Here is a 21,318-nt window from a genome sequence, read left to right as displayed (position 1 = left end):
CCCAGTGATTAAACTATCCCATTGTAGAAATCACTCACTGGTGGGGGAACACAGTAAAATATACAACCCCAATCCTCTCAAATATATTTGGGAGATGAGGGATGGATAGATGAGGTTTCTTTTTTTTCTTTTTTCTTTTTTTTTTATACTTTAAATTCTGCGGTACATGTGCAGAATGTGCAGGTTTGTTACATAGGTATACATGTGCCATGGTGGTTTGCTGCACCCATCAACTCATCATCTATCTACATTAGGTATTTCTCCTAATGCTCTCCCTCCCCTTGCCCCCTACCCTCCGACAGGCCCTGGTGTGTGATGTTCCCCTCCCTGTGTCCATGTGTTCTCATTGTTCAACTCCCACTTATGAGTGAGAACATGCAGTGTTTGATTTTCTGTTCCTGTGTTAGTTTGCTGAGAATGAAGGTTTCCAGCTTCGTCCATGTCCCTGCAAAAGACATGAACTTAGATGAGGTTTCTTTGGTGGGAAAAGCTGAATGGAAGAGCTGGAACTCGCGGAAGAGGAAGAACCATAAGCCGGCTTAGAGAAAATGGACTTCTGATGTCATAGGTACCTATTCCAATTGCTTTCTATCATGATCCATTAGTGAGTTAGCGCCATAATATTGCTGTGCCACAAACCATCCCAACCCAAAACTCAGTGGCTTAAAACAACAATCATTTACTCTCACTCATGTGTGTGGGGAAGCAGATCTAGGCTGGGCTTGGCAGGCTTGACTCCAGGCTACACACTGGGTCCATGCCTTCACATTCCTCTATTTTCCCTGGCTACCGGGACTACCAGGGGACGTTCTTCTCACAGCCATGACAAACGCGTAGAAGGGCAAGTTCAATCGGGCACATTTTATGCCTCCACCTTTCTTCTGCTAACATGTCATTGGCCAAAACAAATCACATAACCCAGCCAAAGTCAAGGGACAAGGAAGTCCATTTCACCTCTAGTGGAGTTGGTGCAAAGTTGCAGGCAGTGGGCATGAATACGAGGAGTGGCGAAGAACTGCAACAAATAACCCAATCTACCAGAGACCTCTTTAAATCACAAGCCAGGAAGGGATCCGCTGCTACGCAGCATTTTTACTTGGTGTTTTAATTAATCAGCACTCACACGTTTAATCATTCTTTCAGTCATTTATTTACTGTATGCATTCAGTAAACAAAAATATATTGAGTGTTCCAGGAAGAAATAGGGCAGGGGTGAACAGAAGTCACATTTCTTTGTTTTGTTTTGTCTGAGACAGGGTCTTGCCCTGTCACCCAGGCTGAAGTGCAGTGGCGTGATCTCAACTCACTGCAACCTCTACCTCCTGGGTTGAAGTGATTCTCCTGCCTCAGCCTCCTGAGTAGCTGGGACTACAGGCATGCACCACCATGCCTGGCTAATTTTTGTATTTTTTTAGTAAAGATGGGGCTTTACCATGTTGGCCAGGCTGGTCTCAAACTCCTGACCTCAAGTGATCTGCCTGCCTTGGCCTCCCAGTTACATGTGTGAGCCACTGTGCCCAGCCAAAAAGTCATATTTCTGATATAGTTTCAGGTAAGAAAAATTGGAGAAGAAAGCAGTCTAGGTAGAAGAGAGAGAAAGAAATAGCATCCAGATAAAAGCTAAGATTGAGCTTTCTCACACAGTAGTACCCTTAGCTTTTTTTTGACCATGACAGAGAACACTTGAAGAAGAAAGACTCAGCTACTTTGCTCAAACAAAGTCTATCTCTTAAAAATGAATTGAACAAGACAGGCAATGTGTTATATGCCCACCAGCAGTTTGATCAGATTTGAGAAATTTGAAATTAAGGAAATTTAGTGCATTCTTAAATAGATCACATTCTTTTTTTTTTTTTTTTTTTTTTTTTTTTGGTGAGACAAGGTCTGGCTCTGTTGCCCAGGCTAGAGTGCAGTGGTGTGATCATGGCTCACTGCAGCCTCGACTTGCTGGGCTCAAGTGATCCTCCCACTTTGGCCTCCTGAGTAGCTAGGACTACAGGTGTGTGCCGCCACACTGGGCTAATTTTTAAATTTTTATCTTTTTTTTTTTGTAGAGATGGGGGTCTTACTATGTTACCCAAGCTGGTCTCAAACTCCTGGCCTCAAGCAGTGCGCCCACCATGGCATCCCAAAGTGCTGGGATTACAGGTGTACCTTACCAATCACATCTTCTAATCGAATGAAAATTTGATGGATTCATTGTTCCTGTAAGCATAGTAAAGAATTTGACCTCACCCAAAGAGAGGTCTGGTCTTTCTCTTCGGCTAACCTCAAAACCTTTGGAATTTCCTAAGAGTTAGGGGTGTCTTTGTTATTCATGATGGGTCTCTCTTGCCACACCTGAGAGTTGGTACTGGGATGACTCAGAGTGGGGCCAGCCACATCTTGTAAACTTAAGGTGGGAACTGGCTTGCCACAATGATCCACTCTGTGTTTAAAGGAGGGGAGCTTTGTAAGATCAGGCCCACCTCCAGGGAATCTCAATGCTAGGCCTGGCCAAGACCTGCAGAGAATAGTTTCTGGACACTGAAGATGATGAATGCTAATACAGAGCTAAAAAGACGCAACACGAATAAATCTTTTTCAGATCCCTCTCAGAAGAGGTTCAGTGGATGTTGGATGAGATGCTGAAATGAAAGAAATGGATTCAAGCAAAAAGCAAAAAAAAAAAAAAAAAAAAAAACCCTTGAAGTGGCTCATGCCTGTAATCCTAGCACTTTGGGAGGCCCAGATGGGTGGATCACCTGAGGTCAGGAATTCAAGACCAGCTTGGCCAACATGGCGAAATGCTGTCTCTACAAAAATACAAAAATTAGTCGAGCTTGATGGTGGGCGCCTGTAATCCCAGCTACTCAGGAGGCTGAGGCAGAAGAATCGCTTGAACCTGGGAGGCAGAAATTGCAGTGAGCTGAGATTGCACCACTGCATTCCAGAGCAAGACTCTGTCTCAAAAAAAAAAAAAAAAAAAAGTAGTCTTCTCCACACAGATCTGCCTGGGAGTTGGTTCTCCTTTCCTGTCTCTGCATTTATAAAACTGTTTTTCTTAGTGCTTTATTTCACAATTATTTTATTTAAGAAGACGAATATTTCTTTTGAAAAGAAATGGTTGCATGTACTAAATCGTTAAATTCAAAGTACTTAATGTTGAAGTCTTTCAGCTCAGATAAATCCATGTCCTGTGAAAGCTGTGTGGTCCTGGGCCTTCACCTCCATTTCACAGACACCAAGACAGTGACCAGCAGCACTTAAAGGAAGGCTGTTTTTCTTCAACAGAGCTTCAAATCTGTTCACATTTGGTGAATGTGAGTCCACCTTAAGTTTTCTGTTGCTTTTTAAACAACTACTGTAATGATATATGTTACTGTCACAGTGGCTCATGCCTGTAATCCCAGCACTCTGAAAGGCCAGGGTGGGTGGATCACCTGAGGTCAGGAGTTCAAGACCAGCCTGGCCAACGTGGTGAAACCCCATCTCTACTAAAAATACAAAAAATTAGCTGGGCGTGGTGATGGATGCATGTAATCCCAGATACTTGGGAGGCTGAGGCAGGAGAATTGCTTCAACCTGGGAGGTAGAGGTTGCAGTGAGCTGAGATGGCGCCATTGCCTGGGCAACAAGAGTGAAACTCCATCTCAGAAAAAAAAAAATACGTTACTGTTAAAACCTATTTTTGGCCTAGCGTGGCGGCTCATGCCTGTAATCCCAGCACTTTGGGAGGCCACGGTGGTCGGATCACGAGGTCAGGAGTTCCGAGACCAGCCTGGCCAACACGGTGAAACCCCATCTCTACAAAAGATAGAAAAAAATATAAGCCAGGTGTGGTGGCATGCGCCTGTAATCCCAGCTACTCGGGAGGCTGAGGCAGGATGATTGCTTGAACCTGGGAGGCAGAGATTGCAGTGAGCCGAGATCGCGCCATTGCACTCCAGCCTGGGCAACAGGGAGAGACTTGGTCTCAAAAAAAACAAACACTTTTTTTTTTCATGAACATGTACTATATTTGAAAAAGCAGGGGCCACTAAATGCTAACTTATAAATAACTCTGAATATCTGGATGCTGTGTCATTGCAGGTTATGTTCCTGTTATAAATCTTATTGCTGTTCTAGGATGGATCACACCCAAAAGGGTGATTTCTCAGAAACAGCAATAAAGCTTCCCAAGATAAACTGGATATTATGTGTTCCTCAGACTCTGTGTCTTCTGTTGTTAGTTTTCTTTTTTTGTGTGTGTTTAAACACAAAGATGAGGGATTCCGCTATAATCAGATCACCCTACCCATAACAGGAGGGCATATGCTTGCAATTCTATAGTCTGCAATATTCCTAGGCCATGCTGGTAGCTTTCCTACTGCTCAAGAAATACAGACTATCTTGACTGCTGCATGTCTGCGTAGTGTCCCATTGCTCCATGAAAATGGTTCAACCCAGACTCTGAGGTAAAATACATTAAGCGGTCAACTAACTTGAGTAAAGCAAAATGCATCTCTTTCTTCCTTGTTTTAATGTGTTGTCAATTCCTGGAACACTCAAAGAATCCAAGAGAGAGTTGAAAAAGGTAATGATTAAATAAATAAGGCAATAATAATGACAACCAGTTCAATCCTACCACTGAGGAAGCAATGACTGACTCTGGTAAGCAAATCTCTTTCACCTTTGCTTTATTGTAACACTTGGCTGAGTTTGCTGGGGTGGAGCTCGGTTGATAGGGGAGGAGGACTGGGAGTTTCCAAACCTGACTTCTCACCTGGGTTCTCTTACTCTGACCCTTTGCTACCCTTTCTCCACTCTCTGCTTGACAAAATCCTTCAAGAGCTAGGGACCATCAAGCCTTTTCTCAAATACCCAGCTGGGGATGAAGCTGGAAAACATTATGCTAAGTCAAAAAGTCTGTCAGAAAAAAACATGTTTTGTCTTTTTTGTTTTATGTGTTTTGTTTTTGTTTTCAGAGACAGGGTCTTGCTATGTTGCTCAGGCTGACCTTGAACTCCTGGGCTCAAGCAATTCTCCAGCCTTGGGCTCCTGATAGCTGGGACTAGAGGTGTGCACCATGGCCACCATGCTTGGCTCAAAGACCACATTTTATATAATCCCATTTATAGGAAATGTCCAAGAATAGCAAATCTACAGGGATAGAAAGTAGATTAGTGGTTGCTTAGGGCTGGGGGAAATGGAAAAAGTAGGAATAACAGCTAAAAGGGTATAGGGTTTCTTTCTAGGTTGATGACAATGTTCTGAAATTGATTGTGGTAATGGTTGCATAACTCTGTGAATATACTAAAAACCGTGAATTATACACTTTTAGGGGTGATTTGTATGGTATGTGAATTATATCTCAATAAAGTTGTGATTTAAAAAATACTCAATTGTACAAGAAGGCAGCACTGAGTGATAGTTAAGCACATGGACTTCAATGCCAGAGAGGTTTGGGTTCAAATTCTGGCCACACCATGTATTTGATGTGTAAAATTGAGCCTGCTATTCTTTTCCTCATTGGTCAAATGAGGGAAAATAATAGTAAGTGGATAAGAGAATTCTTGTGAGGATTAATGGGATCATACATTTACAGCCCTTAGCACAATACCTGGACGTTGCAAGCATTCAAAAAATAGTGATTTAAAATGTTTTCTTTTCTCTTGGAATCTCTTAGCCCTTTGTATATTAAGGCCCTGAGAAGTATGACATTGACTGATGTAAACCTCCCTTAGTGGATTGTAAGCATTTTTGCAGACTTGGACTTCCTGGAGTTGGTCTTAACTTAGCTTTCCATATCAGTGTCAATATCAACATCAATATCAATATCAATATCAATTGTTGGTAGAAGAATAGACTCCACTGAGCTACGCATATACAATACAATATATTGATATTGCATCAGTATCAATTTTTACCCCTAGTTGGTGCTAAATCTGTGTTGTTGAGCTGAATATGCTTGGCTTTCTACACTAGATTGGATGCTTTTTGAGGGTAAATACCTTATATTTATACTCTATATTTATACTCATAACTTATATTTATACTCTATAGAGTCTATCTCAGTAATGAAAACAAATAGGTCACTAGGAAATAGGTGCCAGTTTTGCTTTTTTGCTTTTTTTTTTTTTTGAGATGGAGTTTCGCTCTTGTTGCCCAGGCTGGAATATAACGGTGTGATCTTAGCTCACCACAACCTCCACCTCCCGAGTTCAAACGAGTCTCCTGCTTCAGCCTCCCGAGTAGCTGGGATTACAGGCATATGACACCATGCCTGGCTAATTTTGTATTTTTAGTAGAGATGGGGTTTCTCCATGTTGGTCAGGCTGGTTTTGAACTCCTGACCTCAGGTGATCCTCCCGGTTGGCCTCCCAAAATGCTGTGATTACAGGCGTGAGCCACCACGCCCAGCCAGGAAATAGGCGTTGTTGTATCAAATTCTTTTAATAAGAGGGCAAATGAAAATTCTAACTCCTTAAAGTAGACACTGTCAGTTACTTCCGCACATTTATTTCCTGCCTCCCTCTCTCCATTCTTCCTGGCTGTCAGAGTCCTGAGTTGCTTGGATGTTCAGGCGTGAATCTTGTTCAGCCTAAACCACTCCTATATTTCCATTCTTTTTGCCAGGGATTGATTTAGGGAGGTATCAGTGATGCATTCTTGCGACTGAGATTAGAATAAAAATCTGAGGAAATTTTCTTTTCTTCAAGAAAAGGATAAACAAGGGGAAACATCCCCTTTCCTGGCCCTGGTAGTGGCTGCATGGGGTGACCGTGTCTGGAGCTGAGACACGTAATGTGGGCTCAGCAGCGGTGCCAGTCAGAGAGGATGAGCTAAGGAAGGTACAAGAGCGAAACAGAAAAACCAGACTTTGTGATGACCTTGTTGGCCGCTGAAGTGACCAATACTGGACTTGCAGCATTTTTGTTCTGTGAGATAATAAACCCTGTTATGTCTCAGTCATTTTACTTGGCATTTCTGTTGCTTATTGCTGAAAGTTTCTTGCTGTACTCTTGCATTTGCTATTCCTCACTTTCTTCCTAGGTAAATTCTGGAGGTGGGACTATTGGTAGGAAGAGTAAAGCAACTACAAACCAGGGGACCAAGGAAACCAGGAGGAATCAATAAATAACTAACCAGGTGTTATTTATTATCTATAATTCATGCCTCACCTATTTAAACCTTTAGAAGAGGTGCACATCACAGCCTTACTTTTGTAATGGAGGAAAAAAAACATGACATCAGTTGATCATTAATATAAGGTGGGAAAATAATTTTTTTTTTTTTTTTAAAGACAGGGTCCTGCTTTGTCATCCAGGCTGGAGTACAGTGGTGCAATCACAGCTCACTGCAATCTCCTGGGCTCAAGGAATCCTCCCACCTTAGCCTCCCAAGTAGCTGGGACTACAGCACCCACTGGCTAATTTTTAAATATTTTGTAGACGGAGTCTTGCTATGTTGCCTAGGCTGGTCTCAAATTCCTAGCGATCCTTCTGCCTTAGCCTCCCGAAGTGCTGGGATTACAGGTGTGAGCCACCACGCCCAGCCCCTGAACATATTTTTCATAAAAGTAAAAATATATACATAAAATAGTCACAGAGGAGAAGTGGGCATCTGGCCTCATGTAAGTTTTGGCTGCTGTGGCGCACACCCATGTCAGTCAACAGAGGACATTTATGTGGGTGCTCGTAGAGCAGAGAAGAGTTTTTTGGTGAATAAGAAAGAATTGCTCCCAAAGTACCAGAGGAGAGTGATTACAAGCAGGAAGTAAAATTAAAAAGGAAACTTACTCCGGGCACTTGGAGTAGCACCTGCCTTCATGGAGGAAGAGAGGGTGGCCCGGCTGCATCTGGCATTTTTTGCAAAGATCGGCTCCAGAGCAGATGGCACAGGCCTCCGTACAGTTCTCGCAGCTCCCACTCCTTACGGAAGGCCATGTGCCTTGGGGACAGGAGGAAACACAGGCCTGAGCCAGAAGATATGCACCTAGAAATTCAGGGAAGAGGGAAGATGGGAATAGTCATCATGTGGTTTTCCATGCAGAGACATGGCTTTTTTAAGCTTTCCAAAGACCAAAGTATCCAGGCACTTATTTCAGGCTTACCAAAATATTTGCTAGTGATGCTAAGTCCTCCAGGATGAGTTACATTTCTAGAAGGCAATTGACAGCAAGAGACTTTTGCCTGTTTCTTTCCTATCCTACAGATATTAGGTATAGGTCATGATGGGGCTTCCTTTTGCCCAGTTGATCAGTCTTATTAACACACTCTCTATGTCTTCCTGGTGTAAGGCAGCTGTACATGCACAGCTTGATGGAATCTATTAATACTCTGCTTCCCCAAAGCCCATCTTGTTAGGACACTAACATAGTTGCAACTCTTTTTTTTTTTTTTTGAGAAGGAGTCTTGCTCTATCTCCCAGGCTGGAGTGCACTGGTGCGATCTTGGCTCACTGCGACCTCCGCCTCCCGGGTTCAAGCGATTCTCCTACTTCAGCCTCCTGAGCAGCTGGGACTACAGGCGTGCACCACCACACCTGGCTAATTTTTGTATTTTTAGTAGACACGGGGTTTCACCATGTTGGACAGGTGGGACTCAGACTCCTGACCTCAGGTAATCTGCCCGCTTCAGCCTCCTAAAGTGCTGGCATTACAGGCTCGGCCCAGAGTTACAACTCTTCCACCCAACTCTCCCTTTAACAGGGGATCCACCTATTTTTCAATCGAAAAACAACTGATACTCATTAAGAAAACCAATTTTCAAAATCACTCTCACACCCAAGATTCCAGGAAAATGCTTTAGCTTTTTGAGTGTAACCTTTTATATTTTATATGATTATAATTGTGGCTTGCCTATTATTGTAAATTTTTCTGCTTTTGCATCAGATTCCACTATTAACATTGTACATTCCAACGTGGACTTTATAATGATCATGGAAACATGTAAACATTCTTTTTTTTTTTTTTGAGGCAGCGTCTTGCTCTGTCATCCAGGTTGAAGTGCACACTGCAACCTCTACCTCCCAGGTTCAAGTGATCTCATGTCTCAGCCTCCCACGTAGCCTGGGATTACAGGCATGTGCCAACACATGTGGCTAATTTTTGTATTTTTAGTAGAGACGGGGACTTGCCATGTTGGCCAGGCAGGTCTCCAACTCCTGGCCTCAAGTGATCCTCCTGCTTCAGCCTCCCAAAGTGTTGGGATTACAGGCATGAGCCATCATGCCCAGCCCACTTAAACATTCTTTATGTCAGTGTACCATTTAAGTAAAATATTCTCCTAATTCAGGGAAGTTATGTTATTTGTGATTTTTGTTTTTATAGATGAAGCAATTGATAAGTTATCAAGCTGTTATGTTGCTGCTCTTATTCCTTCCTCCCTCCCTCTTCATCATGCCTTTAGATTAAGAAACTTTTTTCTTTTTTAAGACAAGGTCTTGCTCTGTCACCCAGGCTGGAGTGCAGTGGCATGATCATGGTTCACTGCAGCCTTGACCTCCTGGGACCAAGCAATGCTTTCATTTCAGCCTCCCAAGTAGGTGGAACTACAGGGACATGCCACCATGCCCAGCTAATTTTTAAAATTTTTATAGAGATGGGGTCTCACTATGTTTCCCAGGCTGATCTCAAACTCCTGGGCTCAAGAAATCCTCCCGCCTCAGCCTCTCAAAATGTTGGGATTACAGGTGTGAACCACTGTACCTGACCACTTCTTTGTATTGTCCTTTGAAAGCCAGTTTTTATTATTGGTCAATGTTTGGGTCCCTGTGTGTCTCCCGAGTAGCCACTGTAATAGGAACATGTGATGGGAATAGATCAAGGCCTTACAGACCTCCTTACACCAAGATGCCACTACACATGAGTTTCAATGACTTGGCTTGACTGCTGCCATCTTCTGTCACGCAACACACTAACCTTTGGGACATGAAGTGCACAGAGTTGCAGATCCATTGCAGGTTTTACAAGAAGAATGACAAGGCTGGAGTTTTCTCAAAATATCTGTATGAGAAAGAAACAACAGTTCAGGCTTCTCCTTGGAATAGGCACATAGGATTCCAGTACTGAAAAAGATCTCATGGGTTACCTAGTCTCTTTTCCTGCCCCAGATGGAATCCTTTTGATTGTACATGAGCTGATTGTTGGCACTGGCTCATTGCCATTGTGTAGACTTCATTTATTTTTTTTTCTCTTACTCCTTCATTTGCAATTGATTATCAAGAAAGATACCACACGAATGTGTGGTACCACAAGGAATGTGGTATTCTACAAGATAGCCTCAAATACTGTGGGGATATTTGAACACATAATTACTTCTTTTGTGTGTTAAAAATGGGAGTGAGTTTGTATTTGTGTGTATGCACTTGTGAATGAGTTTATGAGTCAAAGGTAATCACTTCTATTGCCAAGATTGTTGGATGACCTTTTCTTTTCTTTTCTTTTCTTTTTTGAGACAGAGTCTCACTCTGTAGCCCAGGCTGGAGTGTGGTGGTGTGATCTTGGCTCACTGCCGCCTCTGCCTCCTGGGCTCAAGTGATTCTCCTGCCTCAATCTCCCAAGTAGCTGGGATTACAGGTGCGCACTACCATGCCCAGCTAATTTTTGTATTTTTAGTAGAGACGGGGTTTTGCCATGTTGACCAGCTGGTCTTGAACTCTTGACCTCAGGTGATCCACCCGCCTCAGCCTCCCAAACTGCTGGGATTACAGGTGTGAGCCACCGCGCCCGGCCGGATGACCATTTCTCTTCACTCCAAGATGATAATTGACAATTCATTGTACCTCTCGTGGAGGAACTTCTTTTCTTTTTTTTTTCTGTTTTTGTTCTTTGAAAATCAGATTTTATTATTGGTCAATGTTTGGGTCACTGTGTTCTTTAGAGTAGCTACTGTGCTATGCAACCTAAATTTATCTCATCTTAAGTTTGTCCCAAATCATTGTTAAACATCAAAATTATCCCCTACTCACAGGCTTTCTTGTTGGTCGGGCTATAAGTAGGTTGTCCCAGGTTAATATACCATTAACCAAGGAAACATTGGAAGTGTTCCCTTCTCCCTTTCCCTCCAACAGCATTTGATGGGCAGGCTTTCCCAGGAAGTCACCTCAGCAACTCCATGGGACAATTTCAAGGACAGAACAGCTTCAAGACATCACTCAGTCAATACATATGGAGACCTTGACTAGAGCTCAGGGATTGCTCAGAAATCAGCATGGCTCACACAGGAAAAAATTAGAAAACGAAGTTCTAGCTCAGAATGTGGGATTTCAATGACCCTGACCCTCAATCAATGTTGACATCTTACCATTTTCCTTATTACCTCCTCCCTCCCTTTCTCCCTTCCTTCCTCTCCTGCCTTTCATCTTCTTTCTTCTCATCCTAAGAGTCAGCCGGGTATAGATGGCGCTCTAGTCACACCTGCCTTCAGATCCCAGCTATGCCGCCGAAGGGTAGGGTAACCATGGATACGGTAATTAAACTCTCAGAATCCTACTTTCCTTGTCTCTAAAATGAGAGAAAATAATTCTGCCCTTATAGGATTGTTGTGAAGACTAAATGAGATAATACGTGTCAAGTGCTTAACATAGGGGCACATGGATACAGTAATTAAACTCTCAGAATCCTACTTTCCTTGTCTCTAAAATGAGAGAAAATAATTCTGCCCTTATAGGATTGTTGTGAAGACTAAATGAGATAATACGTGTCAAGTGCTTAACATAGGGGCACATGGATACAGTAATTAAACTCTCAGAATCCTACTTTCCTTGTCTCTAAAATGAGAGAAAATAATTCTGCCCTTATAGGATTGTTGTGAAGACTAAATGAGATAATACGTGTCAAGTGCTTAACATAGGGGCACATGGATACAGTAATTAAACTCTCAGAATCCTACTTTCCTTGTCTCTAAAATTAGAGAAAATAATTCTGCCCTTATAGGATTGTTGTGAAGACTAAATGAGATAATACGTGTCAAGTGCTTAACATAGGGGCACATGGATACAGTAATTAAACTCTCAGAATCCTACTTTCCTTGTCTCTAAAATGAGAGAAAATAATTCTGCCCTTATAGGATTGTTGTGAAGACTAAATGAGATAATACGTGTCAAGTGCTTAACATAGGGGCACATGGATACGGTAATTAAACTCTCAGAATCCTACTTTCCTTGTCTCTAAAATGAGAGAAAATAATTCTGCCCTTATAGGATTGTTGTGAAGACTAAATGAGATAATACGTGTCAAGTGCTTAACATAGGGGCACATGGCTACAGTAATTAAACTCTCAGAATCCTACTTTCCTTGTCTCTAAAATGAGAGAAAATAATTCTGCCCTTATAGGATTGTTGTGAAGACTAAATGAGATAATACGTGTCAAGTGCTTAACATAGGGGCACATGGCTACAGTAATTAAACTCTCAGAATCCTACTTTCCTTGTCTCTAAAATGAGAGAAAATAATTCTGCCCTTATAGGATTGTTGTGAAGACTAAATGAGATAATACGTGTCAAGTGCTTAACATAGGGGCACATGGATACAGTAATTAAACTCTCAGAATCCTACTTTCCTTGTCTCTAAAATGAGAGAAAATAATTCTGCCCTTATAGGATTGTTGTGAAGACTAAATGAGATAATACGTGTCAAGTGCTTAACATAGGGGCACATGGATACAGTAATTAAACTCTCAGAATCCTACTTTCCTTGTCTCTAAAATGAGAGAAAATAATTCTGCCCTTATAGGATTGTTGTGAAGACTAAATGAGATAATACGTGTCAAGTGCTTAACATAGGGGCACATGGATACAGTAATTAAACTCTCAGAATCCTACTTTCCTTGTCTCTAAAATGAGAGAAAATAATTCTGCCCTTATAGGATTGTTGTGAAGACTAAATGAGATAATACGTGTCAAGTGCTTAACATAGGGGCACATGGATACAGTAATTAAACTCTCAGAATCCTACTTTCCTTGTCTCTAAAATGAGAGAAAATAATTCTGCCCTTATAGGATTGTTGTGAAGACTAAATGAGATAATACGTGTCAAGTGCTTAACATAGGGGCACATGGATACAGTAATTAAACTCTCAGAATCCTACTTTCCTTGTCTCTAAAATGAGAGAAAATAATTCTGCCCTTATAGGATTGTTGTGAAGACTAAATGAGATAATACGTGTCAAGTGCTTAACATAGGGGCACATGGATACAGTAATTAAACTCTCAGAATCCTACTTTCCTTGTCTCTAAAATGAGAGAAAATAATTCTGCCCTTATAGGATTGTTGTGAAGACTAAATGAGATAATACGTGTCAAGTGCTTAACATAGGGGCACATGGATACAGTAATTAAACTCTCAGAATCCTACTTTCCTTGTCTCTAAAATGAGAGAAAATAATTCTGCCCTTATAGGATTGTTGTGAAGACTAAATGAGATAATACGTGTCAAGTGCTTAACATAGGGGCACATGGATACAGTAATTAAACTCTCAGAATCCTACTTTCCTTGTCTCTAAAATGAGAGAAAATAATTCTGCCCTTATAGGATTGTTGTGAAGACTAAATGAGATAATACGTGTCAAGTGCTTAACATAGGGGCACATGGATACAGTAATTAAACTCTCAGAATCCTACTTTCCTTGTCTCTAAAATGAGAGAAAATAATTCTGCCCTTATAGGATTGTTGTGAAGACTAAATGAGATAATACGTGTCAAGTGCTTAACATAGGGGCACATGGATACAGTAATTAAACTCTCAGAATCCTACTTTCCTTGTCTCTAAAATGAGAGAAAATAATTCTGCCCTTATAGGATTGTTGTGAAGACTAAATGAGATAATACGTGTCAAGTGCTTAACATAGGGGCACATGGATACAGTAATTAAACTCTCAGAATCCTACTTTCCTTGTCTCTAAAATGAGAGAAAATAATTCTGCCCTTATAGGATTGTTGTGAAGACTAAATGAGATAATACGTGTCAAGTGCTTAACATAGGGGCACATGGATACAGTAATTAAACTCTCAGAATCCTACTTTCCTTGTCTCTAAAATGAGAGAAAATAATTCTGCCCTTATAGGATTGTTGTGAAGACTAAATGAGATAATACGTGTCAAGTGCTTAACATAGGGGCGCAGTAAATTGTAGTTCCTTCAGCTTCCTGTTGATTCTCTCCTGCCACCATTCCACTCCCTTTCTGAGGCTTGTTTTACTCCCCTCTTCCTTCCCTCTGGTTTCATACCTGGGTGGCCTGCTCAGCTTCTGTGATGACAATCATGGATACAAAGCTGATGAGCCTTGCCATAGATGAAACTAGATTCAAATACAGATGATAGAAAGGTACATACATAGATAGGATGGATAGACACAGATATGCGGATAGATGCAAATACAGGTGGAGATGGAGATATAAATGATTAGGCTGCCAGGCTGGGTAGTTGGTTTTTTCCTAGCTTGGAGATAAAAATTTACCCTGGCTTTCTTTTATTTTTTGAGACAGAGTCTCGCTCCATCACCTAGGCTGGAGTGCAGTGGTGCAATCTTGGCTCACTGCAACCTTCACCTCCCAGGTTCAAGCGATTCTCTGGTCTCAGCCTCCCAAGTAGCTGGGATTACAGGTGCCTGCCACCAAGCCTGGCTAATTTTTGTATTTTTAGTAAAGATGGGGTTTCACCATTTTGCCCGGGCTGGTCTTGAACTCCTGACCTCAGGTGGTCCACCCGCCTTGGTCTCCCAAAGCGCTGGGATTACAGGTGTGAGCCACTGCAGCCAGCCCCCTGGTTTTCCAATACACTAATTAAAGCTGATGATTGACTGATGTATTCTCTCTGGGGCATCTGCTAAGGGCTGAATTTAGCCTTGTGCAGAGCCACCTTGGCCACAGGATTGTCACAAAGGTGTTCCGCATGCCTCTCAAAGTAACCGATTCTGTCCCCGAGGGCTTTTTAAAACTGCAGTATCACTCAGCCCCAAAGAGAAGGCAGCCGAAAGGCAAGCAACAATCCTGTTGCTAATAGTCAGATGCTCACTGAATGGCTGAGAGCAGTTGTTCAAAGAATAATAAGGCAACAATATTAATCAGACAGTGAACACCGTGCAAATCTTCAATGTTCTATGTCCAGGCTTCAGGCTGATTTTCCTTTGATGTTATCATGTATATACTAAAATATATTTATAAAGACATGAGTTTTCATCAATTTTCTCATATTTGTATAAGTTTTAATGTCTATATCTACAAATATGCACATATTTATAATTACATGTATCTCACGTTCTGGCAATTTGGTATTTTACTGCATACTCCTGGTATGAAATTCTGTAATGTCAGCCAAGCACGGTGGCTTATGTCTATAATCCCAGCAATCTGGGAGGCCAAGGTGGGAGGATAGCTTGAAGCCAAGAGTTTGAGACCAGCCTGGACAACATGGTGAAACCTTGTCCCTTAAAAAATAATAACAAATAAAAATAAAATAAAATTCTGTAATGTCTTCATATGTCCACCAGAGGGAGATCTGTACAAGCAGTTAACTTAGCAATTAGGCCTGGGCAGGGCATAAAGTCCTCCTCAGCAAGAGTTCTTTATCATAAAAGATTGGGGACTTAATCTCAACAAGTAAATTTTAACCGTGATCATAGTTTCTCTTTTTCCAACTTTGGAAATTCTAGACTGGACAGGACCACAAAAAAAAAAAAAAAAAAAAAAAAGAACCACTTTGACCCAGAAAGTGCAGTGTCCATTCTTCAGAAATGACTGTAGCTAAACTATATAAAGCAAGGGGTTCATTTATTGTATTTATTTTTTATTTAATACATAATTCACTCATGGTGCAAAATGGAGAAAAGGCATGTACTGTGATGTCTCTCTCCCAATCCCTTCTCCACCCTTTTTCATACAAGCTGTATCTATTCACACGGTTTATCACCTTGCCTGTAAAGTAAACAAGCAATATATTTGGAAATCATTCTTTATCAGTACAGAAAGAACCTCTTCCTTTTGGTGGCTCCATAGTATTCTATTGTATGAATACATCGACTTTATTTCTCTCATCTCCTGCTGGTAACCACTTAGTTTTTTCCAGTCTTTGTGATTTCAAACAATGCTGCGGTGACTGGGAAGGCAGAGGTGCTTCCTTAGCCTATTAAAGTTCTGCAAGGACAGAGGCTTTTCTTGATAGCCTCTGCCAGCCATGACCATTTAGCTCGTCACGAATATCCTTATCTGTTACAGAAATCTCCACTGCGGAACTTCTCACAGTCTTCCCTCTGAGTGCCCACTGATATGTTGTGTTTATTGCCCCTCCTGTCTCCAACTTTTTCTAATGACCTCTGCATCTCTGCACCCCATTTGCTTCTGGCCTCCCAGCTTCTTGGGGTGATTTCTCCACGGAGACCATCTCCAGAGATAGTCTCTGCTGCTGTGATTGTTGCCTCCCTATTTCCCTGTTACCTCTTTTGATTTGAACTTTCCACCTTCGTCGCTCCTGCAGCAGGCTCTTCACCACAGATAGGTTTGCAGTGGACACAGCTTCTTTTTTATTAAAAAAAAAAGTGTTTAGTTTTTTTTTAATGCAAAAAGGATAAAGAAGATAAACTTCACCTATAAACCCACCACCCAGAAATGTCTGCTGTGTATACTGTGGTACATGGATGTCTCATCTTCATATTGAGTGTGTGAGTATAATTACATCTATGTATAGATGTGTCATCATTTATAGCTTCTGTACACATAAGACTGACCCTGAACACTGCATTTAACACTATAAATCTCGTAGGTATTTTCTCTTGTCATTAGCATTCCTTGTAAACATCATTTTTTTTTTCCACGAGGAGTCTTGCTCTGTTTCCCAGGCCAGAGTGCGGTGGCGCCATCTCAGCTTGTTGCAGCCTCTGGCTCCCAGGTTCAAGCGATTCTCCTGCCTCAGCCTCCCAAGTAGCTGGGACTATAGGCAAGCACCGCCATGCCTGGCTAGTATTTTGTATTTTTAGTAGAGATGGGGTTTCACCGTGTTGGCCAGGTTGGTCTCAAACTCCTGGACTGACGTGATCTGCCTGCCTTGGCCTCCCAAAGTGCTGGGATTACAGGCATGAGCCACCGTGCCCAGCTGTAAACATCATTTTCAATGGTTTGCATATTTATTTGTATGGATGGTAATTCATTTAGCTTTTTTCTTTTGTTATATTTTTGAGATTGTTCCCTTCTCTTTTTAAAATCGTAAAGCTGCTCTCAACATCTTTGTGAGTATACATTCTTGGCTAAGTCAGGATTCTGCCTATTAGGTATCCCGACTTACCATTATCTGGTGCCTTTTTTTCCAGGGCCATTTCCCTTAGAGCCCTGTTTATCTCTATACCCTCTCAAATGGCTTTCTTTCTTTTCTTTCTTTTTTTTTTTTTTGAGAGAGTCGCGCTCTGTTGCCCAGGCTGGAGTGCAGTGGTGTGATCTCGGCTCACTGCAACCTCCACCTTCCAGGTTCAAGTGATTCTAATGCCTCAGCCTCCCAAGTAGCTGAGACTACAGATGCGTGCCACCACACCTGGCTAATTTTTGTATTTTTAGTAGAGACAGGGTTTCACCATGTTGGCCAGGTTGGTCTTGAATCCTGGCCTCAAGTGATCTGCCCACCTCAGCTTCCCAAAGTCCTGGGATTACATGTGTGAGCCACTGCGCATGGCCCCAAATATTGCTTTCTTTTGTGACCCAGGGAATGCTGCTTTCAAAGCAAACTGGTGTTTCAAGTGTTAAAACTGGACCGAGTCAAATAGTTAGGGAGTAGACGAGACTTTATTGTGTTATATGTGTCCTGAGAGCTTTATATACATTTTCTCATTTCATTCTTAAAATGACTTTGTGTGAGGCAGTTTCATGTTTTCACTTTACAGAGAAGGACACAGGCTCAGAGAGGATGAGTAACTCACTGAAGGTCACACAGCTAGCAAAACACAGAGCTGGGATTTGAATTCATGTGTGCTGTGCCCTAAAGCCTGCATCTGCTAGAGGGTGTAGACATAGGCTTTAGAATTTTTCAGCAATAAATTTGAATTCTGAAGTAATTTGATAGAAGCCAAAATAATGGTGTGCTGGTAAGACAGGTCTCTAGAAAAATGAAAAACCAAAAACCTGATTTGTAGTGTTTCCAATTTCTGTGGTGTAAATACTCCCACCATAGCTAATTTCAAGCTGTCAATGGTTTCACAATCCACTTCCAGAACTCCTGAGTATATAACGATCTGGGCAAGCTGATACAGATGCTTCCTTTGTCCTACTGGCCAAACAGTTAATTACTTACCCAGTGCCATGTGTTTTTTTGCACTCTGTGTTCTGGTAGGTTAAATAACTAAAAATGGTGTACTCATTTCTAAGTGAGACAGCTGTACACATCTATAAAGTCTCTCTAAAAATCAGATTTCCATGGCATCTTTGAAGTTTTCTAAAGTTCAGTGACTATTAGGCAACGTATCTTCCCACTACTGAAGTCGATTTATTTTTTTTCACATGTGAGTGACTTTCAGTGTTTGTGACTAACTCTGGGATTTCAGTCTTTCCCCAAGGATTAGAATTAAGATCAAGAGACAGGCTAGTGATAAATTGTTAGGATGTGGTCACAAACACAAAGCTAATTCACCATGTCTGTGTTCTGTAGATTAGACTATCAGCAGAATATGTAATTAGAACCTGCTATAACATTGTTTTAATCAATGATGGAAATATGAGGTAAGATAAATGTGCAGAAATTACTCCTAGGACTCTCCAGCACTACCGGGGGAAACCACTTAAGAAAATCCAAATGGTTTAACAGTAGCAGAGGAAAGTGCTTCCATTCCCAAAAGTGGCTTCAGGAAACCAGCCGAAGCCATCATCTTCCTTCAAAGCCCGTGGTCTGCCATACCTGAACCTTTCCACCAAGGTTGTGTGATGCTTGAGTCACTGCTGAAGCCATTTGCAGCCTGTCGAATATTATATATTTTTGTTTGTTCGTTTGTTGTTGTTGTTGTTTTAGATGGAGTCTCTCTGTTGCCCAGGCTGGAGTGCTGTGGCACAATCTCAGCTCACTGCAACCTCTGCCTCCTGGGTTCAAGTGATTCTTGCACCTCAGCCTCCTGAGTAGCTGGGATTACAGGTACTGACCACCACGCCCGGCTAATTTTTTTTGTATTTTTAGTAGAGATGAGGTTTCACCATGTTGGCCAGGTTGGTCTCGAACTCCTGACCTCAAGAGATCCACCCGCCTCGGCCTCCCAAAGTGCTGGGATTATAGGCATGAGCTACCACGTCCGGCCTTGAATATTGGTTTTATTCCTGCCATTTAGGGACACTAAATAATTGTCACAATATACTAGTGACCAGGAGAGAGGGTCTGGGGATGATCTATACATTTGTGCAGTGACTTTTTGGTGGCTGAAAAAACAGAGAGTCGAGCACAATCTTTGATTACTTAGTCTTAGCTGGAGGATTTGTCAGGCATTGTCTGATAGGTGGAGGAATCTGCATCCTTAGACTAGGTAGGAGGTATTCCCACTTTGTTGGCAGTTGGCAAAGAATGGTGGCTCTCTCACTGTTGTCATTCTCATTCTGATTAGCCACCTTATTAAAAGAGGAGTTCAGGGAACTCTAGCTGGACTTTTATTTCAAGGGTGTTTTCCCAGCCTGTGCTGATAGATGCTCATGGGGTTGGTTGTAGTCTTCAGACGCAAACAGGATCTTATTGTTTCCACTGGGGAGCAGCATGGGTGAAGGAATGGATTGAAGTGTGTGTCATCTTACCTTTCCTACCTGAATCTGAATCTGTGTTTGAAAAACAAAATAAAACAAAACCCAAAATGAAACAGAAAAACGTTCTGGTACCACCTAGGCAGCTATATCCTCTCAAAAACACTCTGTAATTTGCCTGGGTTTCCTCTGAATTGACCCAGGATGACTGCAATCTGCTTTCCATCATCTGAAAGGTGTGGCTAATTAGTGCTTGTTCTCTGGAAGCCTCTCCTCTCCTATTACACTCTCGATCCTGTTTTTTTTAAGCAAAAGAAGTCAGGAGAAGGTTGTAGGCATTGGCTCAAATACTCCCAGGACTTTATGGAATGCATTTCCCATTTACTATCCATTTCAGTGCTTACACTATGCTGGGGGAAGCTGAGCTACAGCTTTACCTTGCTTAGTGAATAAATGGCTATTTCTCTGTGTTAATGGTCTGCATGTCTTATTTCATAGGTCATGGGAATGGGAAAGTACAGCTCTGTCGTTGACTTGATTGCTTTTGTCCAGCCATGAGAAACACTCTCATCTCTGTCCCCAATCCCCTATTAGTGAAAAATCCCCAAATGCACTAATTCCTCCCTCTCCTCAAAAACATTACATTGTGATAGTAGAAAATGTGGAGGGGTGGGTGTGGTGCTTCGACAAAAGGGAACCACTGAAGCCTGGTTTCTGCTTGCAAAATGCGTAGTCCAGTTGAAGGGACGTGGAATCATTTGGGGAATCAAGCCTGCTCTAACTCTTGGCTCCCTGGACCGTGTCATCATCTGGACGCCAGATAAAATACAGATGTTCAGCTAGAAACACAGCACCAGACCATTTTCCTTTTGGCTTGCACTGCCTCTTAAATGCCTGAATGCCAAACAAACTCATTTTCAGCATTTTGCTTCAGCTATAACTCACAGAAGATAGCCCAATCTGGATTGAATAATCTTCTCGGCTCTGTCTCTGAAATAGGGCCCGTGTTCTCCGTGGCCTTTGGCTGCTGGGCTTTCCACGGTCTCTGAGCTGCTCTTCCTTGAAGTCACATGTGTAAAACTGCCGTAGTAGACAGCAGCCATGGACGTGCCTCCTCTCCAGCCCAGCAAAAACCACAGAGCTGTCACTCCCTCGAGCCCTTAGCACACTCCTCCTGTACAGCACTCTCTTCGGCTGCCGTTGCCTTTGCACCGAAGTGACCCTTTTAACAAATTCTTGCCTCGAAATCAAATGAAGAGCAGCTCCTGTTTTTGTGACTGTCTCCGCATAGAACATGAGTCAGATTTTTCCAACAGGAAGAGGATTTTGTTTTTTAACCACCTCGGTCACAGAGGGGTCGCTGAAAGTTTGTAATTACCTTGCAAGGAAGCCTATAACTGACGCTCAAGTGTGAGGAGGCGCGTTCTAAAGACTCGGGGAGGAATGAGCACCTGCAGGGCTTTGCTGTTGGATTCCAAGCTCCCACACCTGTCCCCTCTCCTCCCTCCTCAGAAGCTTCACGCTTTCCCTGTCTGCAACTGGGAAGAGCAACTTTTAAAGGCAAGCTTGACTGACGGTGAGCTCTAATAACGCAGCCATAGAGACCGTCTGTTTTTAGCATAAAATCTAATACATTCGAGCAGTTCTTGCTTGTCTAATTGGA

General features: G+C 42.1%; 1 protein-coding gene across 5 annotated transcripts in view; it reads right to left on the bottom strand.

Moving 5' to 3' along the window:
* The window catches only part of PCSK5 (proprotein convertase subtilisin/kexin type 5), a 473,167-nt gene that overhangs the window by 44,364 nt on the left and 407,485 nt on the right, over positions 1–21,318 (bottom strand). For 3 of the 5 annotated variants that reach the window (XM_047423454.1, NM_001372043.1, XM_011518770.3), the window contains 3 exons: positions 16,395–16,475; positions 9,884–9,967; positions 7,761–7,956 (listed from right to left, as the gene is read on the bottom strand). In XM_047423454.1, the coding sequence (XP_047279410.1) occupies positions 7,761–7,956; positions 9,884–9,967; positions 16,395–16,475 (361 nt within the window). The remainder of the gene's footprint in view (positions 1–7,760; positions 7,957–9,883; positions 9,968–16,394; positions 16,476–21,318) is intronic. The other 2 variants (XM_011518769.4, NM_001190482.2) reach the window with 2 other exon arrangements.

Source organism: Homo sapiens, chromosome 9, assembly GCF_000001405.40.
Source record: "Homo sapiens chromosome 9, GRCh38.p14 Primary Assembly".
Lineage (NCBI taxonomy): Eukaryota > Metazoa > Chordata > Mammalia > Primates > Hominidae > Homo > Homo sapiens.
The sequence above is the reverse complement of the archived record's forward strand: the minus strand, read 5'-3'. Positions and strand labels throughout refer to the sequence as shown.